Source organism: Homo sapiens, chromosome 11 (genome assembly GCF_000001405.40).
Source record: "Homo sapiens chromosome 11, GRCh38.p14 Primary Assembly".
NCBI lineage: Eukaryota > Metazoa > Chordata > Mammalia > Primates > Hominidae > Homo > Homo sapiens.
The window spans coordinates 31,308,702-31,324,559 of record NC_000011.10 but is presented as its reverse complement, the minus strand read 5'-3'; the positions used below and the strand labels follow the sequence as shown (position 1 = coordinate 31,324,559).

At 38.5% G+C, this 15,858-nt stretch overlaps 1 protein-coding gene across 22 annotated transcripts in view; it reads left to right on the top strand.

Annotated features, from left to right (window-relative positions):
• DCDC1 (doublecortin domain containing 1) overlaps positions 1-15,858 on the top strand; it is a 506,137-nt gene that overhangs the window by 45,180 nt on the left and 445,099 nt on the right. The window lies entirely within an intron of this gene.

Below are 15,858 nucleotides of genomic sequence, written 5' to 3'. Positions count from 1 at the left end.
CTCCAGTTCATAATTTTTTTCCAGATTTTTTCCTTCAAGCCTTTACAAATATTTCTGCAGATCTACATATAAATATAATATTTTCTTTATAAAATGTTAAAAGACTAGATCATTGTTTCTTTTTGAAAATTTAAATTTCTTCTGGAAAAGTTGTATATAATATTTATAAGCCCCCCAGTTTTAAATTTCACATATGCCTTATTTTTATTCCTGTATACTTTTACACAAGTAAAAAACCTTTTTTTTTTCCTTTGGGTGGAATGATTTATGCCCCCGATGCTATGCTCAGATGTGTCTTTATGAATCTTGGAAATTGTTCTTCTTCTTTAGAAGTTTTTCTTCTGCAAAGTAAACAAGTTTAACTTAACAAACACTTATTGAATATATTCTATGTAGTATATATGTAGTTTGAACATAACGTTTTGGTTATTATTCAATCATTGAGTTGCAAGTAAAAATTTGTTATGTGTTATAAAATATCCTGAAATTGCTCTGCAGTTGGAAAAACCCTTATACACATTTTTAGGCCAAACTAGAATTACATTTTCTTCTGGAATTGGAAGTAAAACTTTTGGGGAATTTTTTACTTTTATTACTCATTTTCTATGATGTTTAAATTGTATTTTATCACAGAATCTAGCAATTGGAGAAAGTTATTTGTATCTTTGGAAGTTTAAGCAAGTTGGAGAAAGGGCAGGATGAAGTTTAATAAAAACTTTGTGCTTTGTGTACTTAAGAGATTTTATAAAAGCTTACATTCACCAAACATAAGTGGGGTTATTTCTTTTATTGGTTGCATTCCAGTATTTTAAACTGATGATTCATTATTGAACATACTTATGGTCATTTCCCTTTGTGTTTATAGTTTATTTGTATATATTTCAATTCAAGAGCTTAATTACCATTAAAATGGTACTATAATAAAGATAAGTTTTACAAATGATAATATTAAAAAAAAACTCTTCAGGAAGGTTTAAATGCCATAAAAATATAAAGCAAGAAATATATGCTTGTCAAATATACACTATAAATAAATAATTTAGATGAAAATGGTTGACTGCATTTAACAAAGAGACTACCAAATAATGAAGGGCTAAAGAGTGGTTGTTAGATTTGATGTACTTCATTTCATATTGTAAGTAATTGCTATCCATAAAAATTCTATGGCTTCTGTATAAGAAAAAGAGACATTTTGACAGGCAACACGAATATGAAGCGACAGCAAGTACAAATCCTTGGCAACTGTCATTTCATTATCCTGCTGTTGAATTCACATCCAAATTGTGTGATAACTTATACCTGCATGTTTGTTTTTGAGCCAGGGTCTGTCAAAGTAGCCGCGTTTCCTGCTTAAGAATAGAATTATTAGCCACATGCAAATTTATGCCATAGAAATCTAAAAATAGCAAGGATGTTTTGTGTTTCATAAAGAGGGAAAATAAAAACTCCATGTCATTTTATGCTTATACTGAAATTTCCAGTGAAACGTTCCTGATTAAATAAAAGTAGAATTTTTAGAAAATAGCAGATAATTTATATTTTACCTTATTTTGAAATTAATTCAACATTAGTAAAGGTGTTTAATAAAACTAAAAATAAAGCAAAAGTAATTCGGATTGTCAGTTACATTATACTACATGTCCATTACATTTAATGCAGTAGTGGAAAGCTGATTATATGTTAGGCCACTATCAGTGGAAAGTAACAAAATTCAACTGAAAGTTACTTTAAAAATGAGGAACATTCATTATTTCACATAAGAAGAATTCAGAGAGAGAGCAATTTTAGGGTTAAATTCAGCAGTTCAGCAGTGTTATCAAAAAGTCTGGCTCATTGTGTCTTTGCCTCTGCCATCCTCAGAATATTGGCTAGATCCTTTGGCTTGACCCCTCCTGCTTGCAAGATGGCTCATCACATGTTCACTCAACAATGTCCGAGTAAAGAAGATGGATGTTTGATCACTTGTATCTCTTTTTCATTAGGGCAAATAACCTTTCTGTAAAAGATTTTTTATGTCTCATTGGCCAAAATTAGATCACAAGCAGATTACTTAACCTGCCAGGGTCAAGGGAAATGAAATTACCATCATTGGCTTTAGACCATTGAAGATTTACTCACTGGAGCTGATCGTAGGATACTTTCCATGGACATATAAGGAAGATGAATTCTTAAAAATAACCGAGACTTTATCTAAGAAGAAATGGGGGAAATGACTTACATAGATAATCAACATTACCTGACATAACTCTTGGCTTCAGCTTTCTTTTATTTTATTTCTTAAATTGTGTTTGTTTCTTTTCAGTGGTATTTGGATACATTTTTGCACGCTGTCATAATTATCAAAGAATAATTCCTGCATATCGACCACTGATTGAGTTCCTGTGGAAATGTAGCAGATGTAAAACAAGGATCTTACTCTTGCAGAGTGGGATCTGAAATCATCTTAAATCATATAACCGATAACAAAGCAAACATGGCAATATGCAAAACAGGACATCAATTTATACAAAGGGCCTGGGAAAATGATTTAGAATAAGGAATAACTATGATCTGACAGAATTAACTTCTCTTAGGTGTCTTGTCATCCTAAACAGTTTTGGTGAGGCCTTTTCCATGACCCTAACCCCTGGAATTTTTCCCTTCAGTAACCAGGGCTTTTTCTTCAGAGCTAATCGTGATCAGTAATTGTAAATTTATATGTGTAACTATTTAATAGTTCTCTCTTTCACCTGACAATTAATATTATTATGAAAGAGTTTCTAGAAAATGTAAGTTCTGAGTTGAGATCAACATTTATTAAATATTTATTTTTTGAAGGGAGTACAGTAATAGGTATAGATTAGCTGAGTGAACACAATTGGTAAAAAGGTATGCAGGGCGGGGAGGAGCCAAGATGGCCGAATAGGAACAGCTCCGGTCTACAGCTCCCAGCGTGAGCGACGCAGAAGACGGGTGATTTCTGCATTTCCATCTGAGGTACCGGGTTCATCTCACTAGGGAGTGCAAGACAGTGGGCGCAGGCCAGTGTGTGTGTGCACCGTGCGCGAGCCGAAGCTGGGCGAGGCATTGCCTCACCTGGGAAGCGCAAGGGGTCAGGGAGTTCCCTTTCCAAGTCAAAGAAAGGGGTGACGGACGCACCTGGAAAATCGGGTCACTCCCACCCGAATATTGCGCTTTTCAGACCGGCTTAAGAAACGGCGCACCACGAGACTATATCCCACACCTGGCTCAGAGGGTCCTACGCCCACGGAATCTCGCTGATTGCTAGCACAGCAGTCTGAGATCAAACTGCAAGGCGGCAACGAGGCTGGGGGAGGGGCGCCCGCCATTGCCCAGGCTTGCTTAGGTAAACAAAGCAGCCGGGAAGCTCGAACTGGGTGGAGCCCACCACAGCTCAAGGAGGCCTGCCTGCCTCTGTAGGCTCCACCTCTGGGGGCAGGGCACAGACAAACAAAAAGACAGCAGTAACCTCTGCAGACTTAAGTGTCCCTGTCTGACAGCTTTGAAGAGAGCAGTGGTTCTCCCAGCACGCAGCTGGAGATCTGAGAACGGGCAGACTGCCTCCTCAAGTGGGTCCCTGACCCCTGACCCCCGAGCAGCCTAACTGGGAGGCACCCCCCAGCAGGGGCACACTGACACCTCACACGGCAGGGTATTCCAACAGACCTGCAGCTGAGGGTCCTGTCTGTTAGAAGGAAAACTAACAACCAGAAAGGACATCTACACCGAAAACCCATCTGTACATCACCATCATCAAAGACCAAAAGTAGATAAAACCACAAAGATGGGGAAAAAACAGAACAGAAAAACTGGAAACTCTAAAATGCAGAGCGCCTCTCCTCCTCCAAAGGAACGCAGTTCCTCACCAGCAACAGAACAAAGCTGGATGGAGAATGATTTTGACGAGCTGAGAGAAGAAGACTTCAGACGATCAAATTACTCTGAGCTACGGGAGGACATTCAAACCAAAGGCAAAGAAGTTGAAAACTTTGAAAAAAATTTAGAAGAATGTATAACTAGAATAACCAATACAGAGAAGTGCTTAAAGGAGCTGATGGAGCTGAAAACCAAGGCTCGAGAACTACGTGAAGAATGCAGAAGCCTCAGGAGCCGATGCGATCAACTGGAAGAAAGGGTATCAGCAATGGAAGATGAAATGAATGAAATGAAGCGAGAAGGGAAGTTTAGAGAAAAAAGAATAAAAAGAAATGAGCAAAGCCTCCAAGAAATATGGGACTATGTGAAAAGACCAAATCTACGTCTGATTGGTGTACCTGAAAGTGATGTGGAGAATGGAACCAAGTTGGAAAACACTCTGCAGGATATTATCCAGGAGAACTTCCCCAATCTAGCAAGGCAGGCCAACGTTCAGATTCAGGAAATACAGAGAACGCCACAAAGATACTCCTCGAGAAGAGCAAGTCCAAGACACATAATTGTCAGATTCACCAAAGTTGAAATGAAGGAAAAAATGTTAAGGGCAGCCAGAGAGAAAGGTCGGGTTACCCTCAAAGGAAAGCCCATCAGACTAACAGCGGATCTCTCGGCAGAAACCCTACAAGCCAGAAGAGAGTGGGGGCCAATATTCAACATTCTTAAAGAAAAGAATTTTCAACCCAGAATTTCATATCCAGCCAAACTAAGCTTCATAAGTGAAGGAGAAATAAAATACTTTATAGACAAGCAAATGCTGAGAGATTTTGTCACCACCAGGCCTGCCCTAAAAGAGCTCCTGAAGGAAGTGCTAAACATGGAAAGGAACAACCAGTACCAGCCGCTGCAAAATCATGCCAAAATGTAAAGACCATCAAGACTAGGAAGAAACTGCATCAACTAATGAGCAAAATCACCAGCTAACATCATAATGACAGGATCAAATTCACACATAACAATATTAACTTTAAATATAAATGGACTAAATTCTGCAATTAAAAGACACAGACTGGCAAGTTGGATAAAGAGTCAAGACCCATCAGTGTGCTGTATTCAGGAAACCCATCTCACGTGCAGAGGCACACATAGGCTCAAAATAAAAGGATGGAGGAAGATCTACCAAGCCAATGGAAAACAAAAAAAGGCAGGGGTTGCAATCCTAGTCTCTGATAAAACAGACTTTAAACCAACAAAGATCAAAAGAGACAAGGCCATTACATAATGGTAAAGGGATCAACTCAACAAGAGGAGCTAACTATCCTAAATATTTATGCACCCAATACAGGAGCACCCAGATTCATAAAGCAAGTCCTCAGTGACCTACAAAGAGACTTAGACTCCCACACATTAATAATGGGAGACTTTAACACCCCACTGTCAACATTAGACAGATCAACGAGACAGAAAGTCAACAAGGATACCCAGGAATTGAACTCAGCTCTGCACCAAGCAGACCTAATAGACATCTACAGAACTCTCCACCCCAAATCAACAGAATATACATTTTTTTCAGCACCACACCACACCTATTCCAAAATTGACCACATAGTTGGAAGTAAAGCTCTCCTCAGCAAATGTAAAAGAACAGAAATTATAACAAACTATCTCTCAGACCACAGTGCAATCAAACTAGAACTCAGGATTAAGAATCTCACTCAAAGCCGCTCAACTACATGGAAACTGAACAACTTGCTCCTGAATGACTACTGGGTACATAACGAAATGAAGGCAGAAATAAAGATGTTCTTTGAAACCAACGAGAACAAAGACACCACATACCAGAATCTCTGGGACGCGTTCAAAACAGTGTGTAGAGGGAAATTTATAGCACTAAATGCCTACAAGAGAAAGCAGGAAAGATCCAAAATTGACACCCTAACATCACAATTAAAAGAACTAGAAAAGCAAGAGCAAACACATTGAAAAGCTAGCAGAAGGCAAGAAATAACTAAAATCAGAGCAGAACTGAAGGAAATAGAGACACAAAAAACCCTTCAAAAAATCAATGAATCCAGGAGCTGGTTTTTTGAAAGGATCAACAAAATTGATAGACCGCTAGCAAGACTAATAAAGAAAAAAAGAGAGAAGAATCAAATAGACACAATAAAAAATGATAAAGGGGATATCACCACCGATCCCACAGAAATACAAACTACCATCAGAGAATACTACAAACACCTCTACGCAAATAAACTAGAAAATCTAGAAGAAATGGATACATTCCTCGACACATACACTCTCCCAAGACTAAACCAGGAAGAAGTTGAATCTCTGAATAGACCAATAACAGGCTCTGAAATTGTGGCAATAATCAATAGTTTACCAACCAAAAAGAGTCCAGGACCAGATGGATTCACAGCCGAATTCTACCAGAGGTACAAGGAGGAACTGGTACCATTCCTTCTGAAACTATTCCAATCAATAGAAAAAGAGGGAATCCTCCCTAACTCATTTTATGAGGCCAGCATCATTCTGATACCAAAGCTGGGCAGAGACACAACCAAAAAAGAGAATTTTAGACCAATATCCTTGATGAACATTGATGCAAAAATCCTCAATAAAATACTGGCAAACCGAATCCAGCAGCACATCAAAAAGCTTATCCACCATGATCAAGTGGGCTTCATCCCTGGGATGCAAGGCTGGTTCAATATACGCAAATCAATAAATGTAATCCAGCATATAAACAGAGCCAAAGACAAAAACCACATGATTATCTCAATAGATGCAAAAAAAGCCTTTGACAAAATTCAACAACCCTTCATGCTAAAAACTCTCAATAAATTAGGTATTGATGGGACGTATCTCAAAATAATAAGAGCTATCTATGACAAACCCACAGCCAATATCATACTGAATGGGCAAAAACTGGAAGCATTCCCTTTGAAAACTGGCACAAGACAGAGATGCCCTCTCTCACCGCTCCTATTCAACATAGTGTTGGAAGTTCTGGCCAGGGCAATCAGGCAGGAGAAGGAAATAAAGGGTATTCAATTAGGAAAAGAGGAAGTCAAATTGTCCCTGTTTGCAGACGACATGATTGTTTATCTAGAAAACCCCATCGTTTCAGCCCAAAATCTCCTTAAGCTGATAAGCAACTTCAGCAAAGTCTCAGGATACAAAATCAATGTACAAGAATCACAAGCATTCTTATACACCAACAACAGACAAACAGAGAGCCAAATCATGGGTGAACTCCCATTCACAATTGCTTCAAAGAGAATAAAATACCTAGGAATCCAACTTACAAGGGATGTGAAGGACCTCTTCAAGGAGAACTACAAACCACTGCTCAAGGAAATAAAAGAGGACACAAACAAATGGAAGAACATTCCATGCTCATGGGTAGGAAGAATCAATATCGTGAAAATGGCCATACTGCCCAAGGTAATTTACAGATTCAATGCCATCCCCATCAAGCTACCAATGACTTTCTTCACAGAATTGGAAAAAACTACTTTAAAGTTCATATGGAACCAAAAAAGAGCCCGCATTGCCAAGTCAATCCTAAGCCAAAAGAACAAAGCTGGAGGCATCACACTACCTGACTTCAAACTATACTACAAGGCTACAGTAACCAAAACAGCATGATACTGGTACCAAAACAGAAATATAGATCAATGGAACAGAACAGAGCCCTCAGAAATAATGCCGCATATCTACAACTATCTGATCTTTGACAAACCTGAGAAAAACAAGCAATGGGGAAAGGATTCCCTATTTAATAAATGGTGCTGGGAAAACTGGCTAGCCATATGTAGAAAGCTGAAACTGGATCCCTTCCTTACACCTTATACAAAAATCAATTCAAGATGGATTAAAGATTTAAACGTTAGACCTAAAACCATAAAAACCCTAGAAGAAAACCTAGGCATTACCATTCAGGACATAGGCGTGGGCAAGGACTTCATGTCCAAAACACCAAAAGCAATGGCAACAAAAGCCAAAATTGACAAATGGGATCTAATTAAACTAAAGAGCTTCTGCACAGCAAAAGAAACTACCATCAGAGTGAACAGGCAACCTACAACATGGGAGAAAATTTTCGCAACCTACTCATCTGACAAAGGGCTAATATCCAGAATCTACAATGAACTCAAACAAATTTACAAGAAAAAAACAAACAACCCCATCAAAAAGTGGGCGAAGGACATGAACAGACACTTCTCAAAAGAAGACATTTATGCAGCCAAAAAACACATGAAGAAATGCTCATCATCACTGGCCATCAGAGAAATGCAAATCAAAACCACTATGAGATATCATTTCACACCAGTTAGAATGGCAATCATTACAAAGTCAGGAAACAACAGGTGCTGGAGAGGATGTGGAGAAATAGGAACACTTTTACACTGTTGGTGGGACTGTAAACTAGTTCAACCATTGTGGAAGTCAGTGTGGCGATTCCTCAGGGATCTAGAACTAGAAATACCATTTGACCCAGCCATCCCATTACTGGGTATATACCCAAAGGACTATAAATCATGCTGCTATAAAGACACATGCACACGTATGTTTATTGCGGCACTATTCACAATAGCAAAGACTTGGAACCAACCGAAATGTCCAACAATGATAGATGGATTAAGAAAATGTGGCACATATACACCGTGGAATACTATGCAGCCATAAAAAATGATGAGTTCATATCCTTTGTAGGGACATGGATGAAATTGGAAACCATCATTCTCAGTAAACTATTGCAAGAACAAAAAACCAAACACCGCATATTCTCACTCATAGGTGGGAATTGAACAATGAGATCACATGGACACAGGAAGGGGAATATCACACTCTGGGGACTGTGGTGGGGTCGGGGGAGGGGAGAGGGATAGCATTGGGAGATATACCTAATGCTAGATGACACATTAGTGGGTGCAGCGCACCAGCATGGCACATGTATACATATGTAACTAACCTGCACAATATGCACATGTACCCTAAAACTTAGAGTTTAATAAAAAAAAAAAAAAAAAAAAAGGTATGCAGATGGCCGGGCATGGTGGCTCACGCCTGTAATCCCAGCAATTTGGGAGGCCCAGGTGGGCGGATCACAAGGTCAGGAGATCGAGACCATCCTGGCTAACACGGTGAAACCCCCTCTCTACTAAAAATACAAAAAATTAGCCGGGCATGGCAGCGTGCACCTGTAGTCTCAGCTACTCGGGAGGCTGAGGCAGGAGGATGGCGTGAACCTGGGAGGTGGAGCTTGCAGTGAGCCGAGACTGTACCAGTGAGCCGAGACTGTACCACTGTACTCCAGCCTGGGTGACAGAGCGAGACTCTGTCTCAAAAAAAAAAAAAAAAAAAAAAAAAAAAAGGGTATGCAAATAGGAACTATGGAAGGCAATGTGGTGTAGTTATAGCTGAGGGATATTACAGGGGAGTAATGAGCAGCACCACTTGGTAGAAATTGTTGAATGTGAGACCAAGAAGTATGATTTTACTAGGAGTTTTCTTCAAATTGCTATAAAAAGTCACTAAGGTTTACTAATGCCATTAAGGAGAGGAAATGAGAAAAATTGTTCTTGTCAAATCTGTAGTCATCTCCTTAATTCTTATGGTCTACTTACCTGTTTTTTTCTGTACTCCTTCCTAAGAATATTTTCTTATATTTTTAGACCTTAAAGATTACTTAGTTGTTGCTTTGTGAAGCAAAAATTGTAAACTAGATTTAATGAAAATCTCAGAGAGTAAGCATAATTAAATGCTACCCTGAAATATCAAGAGGGTTGTAAATTCCACCATGTTTAAGATCTTTAGGACCTGTAAATATAATGAGATATCACCATCATGATTAAGTTTCATTATATGGCAAAAGAGAAAAGATTTCTGCAGATGTCGTTAAGTGACATAATCAGTTATCTTTAAGTTAATTAAAAGGGAGATTATTCTGGGTGTGCCTGACCTAATCAGATAAACTCTTAAATGATAGCGATCATAGATTGATAACTTAGAAAGCTAAGCTATTCCTGGCCTCAAAAAAGATGATAGTCAGTATAAGTTCTATAGCAGTCAAGAACTGAATTCTGGCACCAACCTGAATGAGCTTGGAAGAGGACCCTGAGCATCAGATGAGACTGCAGCCCCAGCTGACACCTTGATTTCAGCTCTGTGAGATTCTGAACAGAGGATCCAGCTAAGCTTTGCCCAGACTCTGGACCTACAGAAATAGTGTGCTCATAAATAGATGTTATTTTAAGCCACTAATTTTGTGGTAGTTTGTTGTGCTTCAATAGATGTACAACTAATAATGGATGGAGAAGTAAATGGTAGGTAGGTAGGTTAGATATATAAATAGATTTTTAAAGGAAGTGTACTTATGAGGTAATATGATTAATGTTCTTGTATTAATCCATTTTAGTGGAATTTAAACTTCAGGCTTAAAAAGAATGCTTCTATATCATGGCAAAAGATTAAATAATGCAATGATAAATTGAAATGTTTGACAGAAATTAAAGGCTAGCATTTTATATGATAGGAAATAACCAATGAGATATAGTAATTCTGGCTATCAAATCATCCAGGGCAGGTGTGGATGCACAGGGAGGAAGCACATTCCTTCATGTGGGGTTGGCATAGAAATCATACTGAAAAAGGAACTACTTTGTCTGTTTATATGTGAGTTATTTACAGATGTAATGAAAAATTTGCAGTAGAGACATATACACTTCCAGGACAAGATGATCAATCTGTCAGAAATATTAAAAAGAAAATCTATGTTATAAAATTAGCCCAGGTTCCAGAATGTTATAGAAAATCTCAACAGTAGGTGAGGAGAAGGTGAGGGTTTTGTTGTGTTTTGTTTTTTGTTTTTGTTTTTGTCTTTGGACAAAAGACCATTTTCTAGAACAACTGGTTTAGGAATTCACATGCAAAGGAACTATACCTGTTCACGGAGACTACATATGGGCCAATGAGTAAAAATAACCACAGCACTAAATTAAATTTAGTATCAGTTGGGAAAGACAAAATTCAGCAAAACTATCATACAACTTACTGAATTTTAGAAAAGATATCTGTGTAGATCTTAATGTAGATCTTAAAAATGTAGATCTTAAAATAAATTATAATGTAAAATGTATATAATTAATAGTTCTCAAGAAGCACAGGAAGGACAGGATGCAAAACCTCAAGCTCGAGCAAGGAATATTCTGGAGCTGAGCTCCCTGCATAAGGCTAGGACCCCTGAAAGACAGATGCACCTATTCATGAAAATGGGAACAAAGGTATTGTTCATCAGCCCTAGGAAGCAACAATAAACAGATATAATGTGTTTTAAGGTTTGTGCATTGTCTGGAAAGTAATGAGTAAGTAATCATGTTAAACTTTAATAGGACAAGGATTCATATTGTAATGGCTAGCATAACCAGTAAAAATAAAGTTAAGCAAATGTGTAACTTATAACCTAATAGAAAGGGAAATTAAATAATGGAAAATTATTTTTTAATCTAAACAAAGACAACAAGTGAAAAAGAGCATAGAACAGATAGGTAAAACAGAAAACAAATAGCAAATATATTAGGGTTCTCCAGAGAAACAGAACCAGTAGGTTTTAATATTTTATTTTATTTTTAAATTTATACTTTAAAAATAAATATTTTATTTGACTTTAAAATTTTTTGTAATTTTTTTTAGAGACGAGGTCTTGCTCTGTTGCCCAGGCTGATCTTGAACTCCCTGTTTCAGCAATCCTCCCACCTCAGCCTCCCAAAGTGCTGGGATTACAGGCATAAGCCACCCATGTCCAGCCTATATACTGCATATTTTGTTTATATATTATATATGTACATAGGATAAGGTGTTGGCTCACCCGATTATGGAGGCTGTGAAGTCTCATGATTAGTCATCTACAAGCTGGAGACCCAGGAAAACCAGTGGTGTGGTTCAAAGGCCTGAGAGACAGAGGGCCATTGCTGTAGTTTCCAATCTGAGTCTGAAGGCCTGAGAAACAAGAGTGACCAGAACAGGGAAGATTAATGTCCTAGCTGAAGCAGTAAGGCAGAGGAAGCCAGATTCCAACCTTCTTTGCCTTTTCGGTCTAATCAGGCCCTCAACAGATTGAATGATGCCCACCTGCCCTGGGGAGGGCCATCTGCTTTACTTGGTCCACCAGTTCAAATGCTAATCTCTTCTGGAAACATCCTCACAGACACACCCAGAAATAATGTTTCCTCAGATATCTGGGCATCCTGTTGCCTAGTCAAGTTGATACATAAAATTAATCATCACAGCAAGATTGTAGACATAAGTTCAAATACCGTAAGCCCTTGGTTTACTCATCTGGAAAAGGGGAATAATAATACAGGGCTGTTGTGAGGATTAAATTATAAATATATATAAAATGCTTAGAACAGTGTCTGACATAAATGCTATGTAGGCATTAGCTATTAGTATTGTTACTATCATTGTCAATATGGAGGGCATGATATATGATTTATACCTTGCCTAGCCTGGATGAGAGTCCCTATAATTGGGCAAGTAAGGACCAAAAGCTGATGGAACTGTTGAGAGAAGACTCCTTAGGGCTCTACCCACAAGTTGAGCTGCTTCAGAGTTTCGGTGACTTAATAGGACAGGGTTGGAGAGGTGTCTCTTTTCATCATCCCTATACTAGATTCTTCTGGCCCCAAGCACTAGAATCTTTGGGAACACTCTGAGGTAGTACCTTGGCATGGACCTCATTGTTCTTGTGACTGGTCGTGGCAGCAGAGAGGCAGTGAGAGAAGAGAGTGGAAACAGCTGTGACTCTTACCAACATATTTTTATAGGGACATAGGAGATACTTTCAGAAATTTATAATGTACCACTTTGAGGACTCTCAGAAATAAATGGGGAGGATTTTGAGGGAGTAATAAATTCCTGTATTATGATGATCAGGTTATCATGCTGGCAGTTGTTTGTGTTAAATTCTTCACCCTCAAGATTGGCATCTTTAGGATTGTCGAGGAGCACAATCCTTCCTTTTGATCCACATCTCTTTGGGCCAACATTGACATAGACTGTTGGGCCAGATGGTCCAGAGACTGGGCCTGCAATCATGGCACTGTATTCTTATATTCCTCTGTGATTAGAAGTGAAAAACTAATATTAAAATAATCAAAAGAATCAGAGCAGTGTTTCAGCAGTTGTTACATTTAAACACTTCTGACAGAAATTTAAATTGTATGATGTATTTTAGTGAATACTTTAAAAATCAATCAATATATAGTGTCTCTGCTCATCTTAGTGTGCCAGACAGGCCATGCAAGTCCCCACCCAATTATATTTTCCCTGTTTGGAAGGCACTGACAGCCCATATTACCCTACCTCCTGTGTACCTCCATTGTGCATCCTGCTGTCCTATCTCCAGCTGGGCCGTTGCTAGGTACTTTCCCATATGCAGGCTTGCCAGTAGCATGAGGTTGCCTCACATAAGAGTTCTACCCAACAGGGGTGTCCTATCCTGTGTAGTGATGAAATTAAACTCTTTGAGGAATTTGAACGTAAGTCATATAGACAGAGACTGAAGAAAGTAATTTAGCATAGAAATGAGGAGACACATAGAGGAAGTTAGCAGAAGCCATGAGGAAAGGGGGAGGATAGAGGTAAATCAGGCAATAATGATGTATGAAGAAGAGGCAGGTAGACACAGAAGGAGATAGGAGGTGCTGAGTCAAAAAGCATGGAGTCTACTAGAATTAAGTCACTAGTGTATCCTTGACAGCCATGAATGGCCTTCCAATTTTTGTGCCCTGCAGGAGTGGTTTTATTTACTTTCATAACTTTCTATGTATCTTGATAATAAGCCTTATCACTTGAAGCCTAAGTGTGCCTCTCTGTTTCTGGAAAGCTGAAGGAACCTAACACCCTTCATTCCAGCACCAGTTTAGCAAACTGACTATGTGGGTTTAATTCCCATGTGGGACAAGTTGGCTTTGCAAGGGTATGTAATCATCCTTTCCAACACCTAACAAGCTATGAAACACCTATCAATTGTTATAAGAAAGATGAGTTTGAGAGTGTGTAAGAACTACTGAGGCTGGGCGCGGTGTAATCCCAGCACTTTGAGAGGCCAAGGTGGGAGGATCATGAAGTCAGGAGATTGAGACCATCCTGGCTAACATGGTGAAACACCGTCTCTACTAAAAATACAAAAAATTCAGCTGGGCGTGGTTGCATGCGCCTGTAGTCTCAGCTACTCAGGAAGCTGAGGCAGAAGAATCGCTTGAACCTGGGAGGCAGATGTTGCAGTGAGCTGAGATTGCGCCACTGCACTCCAGCCTGGGCAACAGAGCAATACTCCATCTCAAAAAAAAAAAAAAAAAAAAAAAAAAAATCAAGAATTACTGAAAACCTGTCCTCAATGTTGTAAAACATATCAAAGCTGAAGACTATTCATAGTGGACCAATAATATTAACTCTTTAACATAAAAAACTACCCCTTCTCCCACTTTCAGATATAAATTACTAGAGAAAACCAAGTAATAAATAAACAAATATATAGTTGAACCATATATTTAAATTTAATTATTTTTACCATTCACTGGGTAAATCTATAATCTCTTGTCCTAACCCTATCAGGATCATGTGGAGTTGGGAAGAGTTTGCATTCCCAAAAGAATGCAAGTGCTGTTACCAGAAGATGGGGAAGATGTGTGTGACAAACAAAAATGATAGACAGCCCATGCATAACTAGGTAGAAGAGGGCTATATCAATATAGTTGATAAAATATTATATTCCAGTAAAATCCATACAGAGCATAGAGCAACATGAATAATGGTTATAAAACAGTATTTAGTCAGAAGGCAATAGAATTGAGGATATAACATGATTAAAACTTCAGAATATGAAAAAGTAAAAACCTTTTGCCTTGTGGTGGTAGAATAATGGATTGTTATGTTAAAAATCATTAGTATATTTATAAGAATATTTCATAATGAAAAAAATACATTCATTAAAAAAGACACCTTATTCTACTTTTAAGTAGGGAATTCCATTTTTTTAAAAAAATATGGGAATCTGCTCTTCAAGTAACTATTTATTGGAAACTTGGAACTGTTTATGAAATCTGTGATTCTTTCCCCTGGCTGTTTACTGGTCTTCCCCCAGGTTGAAGAGCTTGGTAACCGTGTGAAGCTCCATTGCTATTGCTGCAGAAACACTGCCAGTTTGAAATGACTGCTGCCACATGCCGTCACTCACCACCGTTATCAAAATCTGAGTGGCTTAGGTGGTCTGCAGGGAGGTCCCACTTTTGCCAGAGCTAGTCCAAAGACCCTTTCAAGGCGTTGTTTGCCACAGTTTTGAGCCTGGTTATATCCAATGTGTAGGGAAGGCTGCTCCTCTCCCCAGTACTGTACTCAGTCTAGGGCAGACTTGGATAGAAACATGTGATGATAACAACAACAGCAGAATACAACTGCTTGGATTCCAGAGGTGTAGTTCCCCTGGGTCCACTGTGTGAGCTCACACACATACACACACACACACACACACACACAAACATCTATTTTCCCTCTGATGTGTGACTACCATTCATTTTTTCAGAGGAAATAATTGACCATTTTACTCGTTTGTGACCATAAAGAGGGCAGGCTGGAAGAAATAATTGTGATTATAATGACATTTGTGGATGTGAAAGATTTGGAGGAGGGGCAATCCCTGCTGAGCTTTCAACACTGAACATATGTTAATTTATAATTGGGGGTGTGTTTGGGGGGGTTATATTATGCAATAACTATTGAGGAATGAGCAAATTGGAAAGAAGCAGATTTGGTTTGTGCAAAGATACTTCCGATTATGGTAATACATGGAACCTGACTATCCTCTATGTGTGATCACCACACAGCTCAATATTTGCAAATATATTAAAACTTATTTTATTTTATCATACCGGTATATTCTATACCTATTCATCTTCCCAACTTGGTGTCTATATAGAT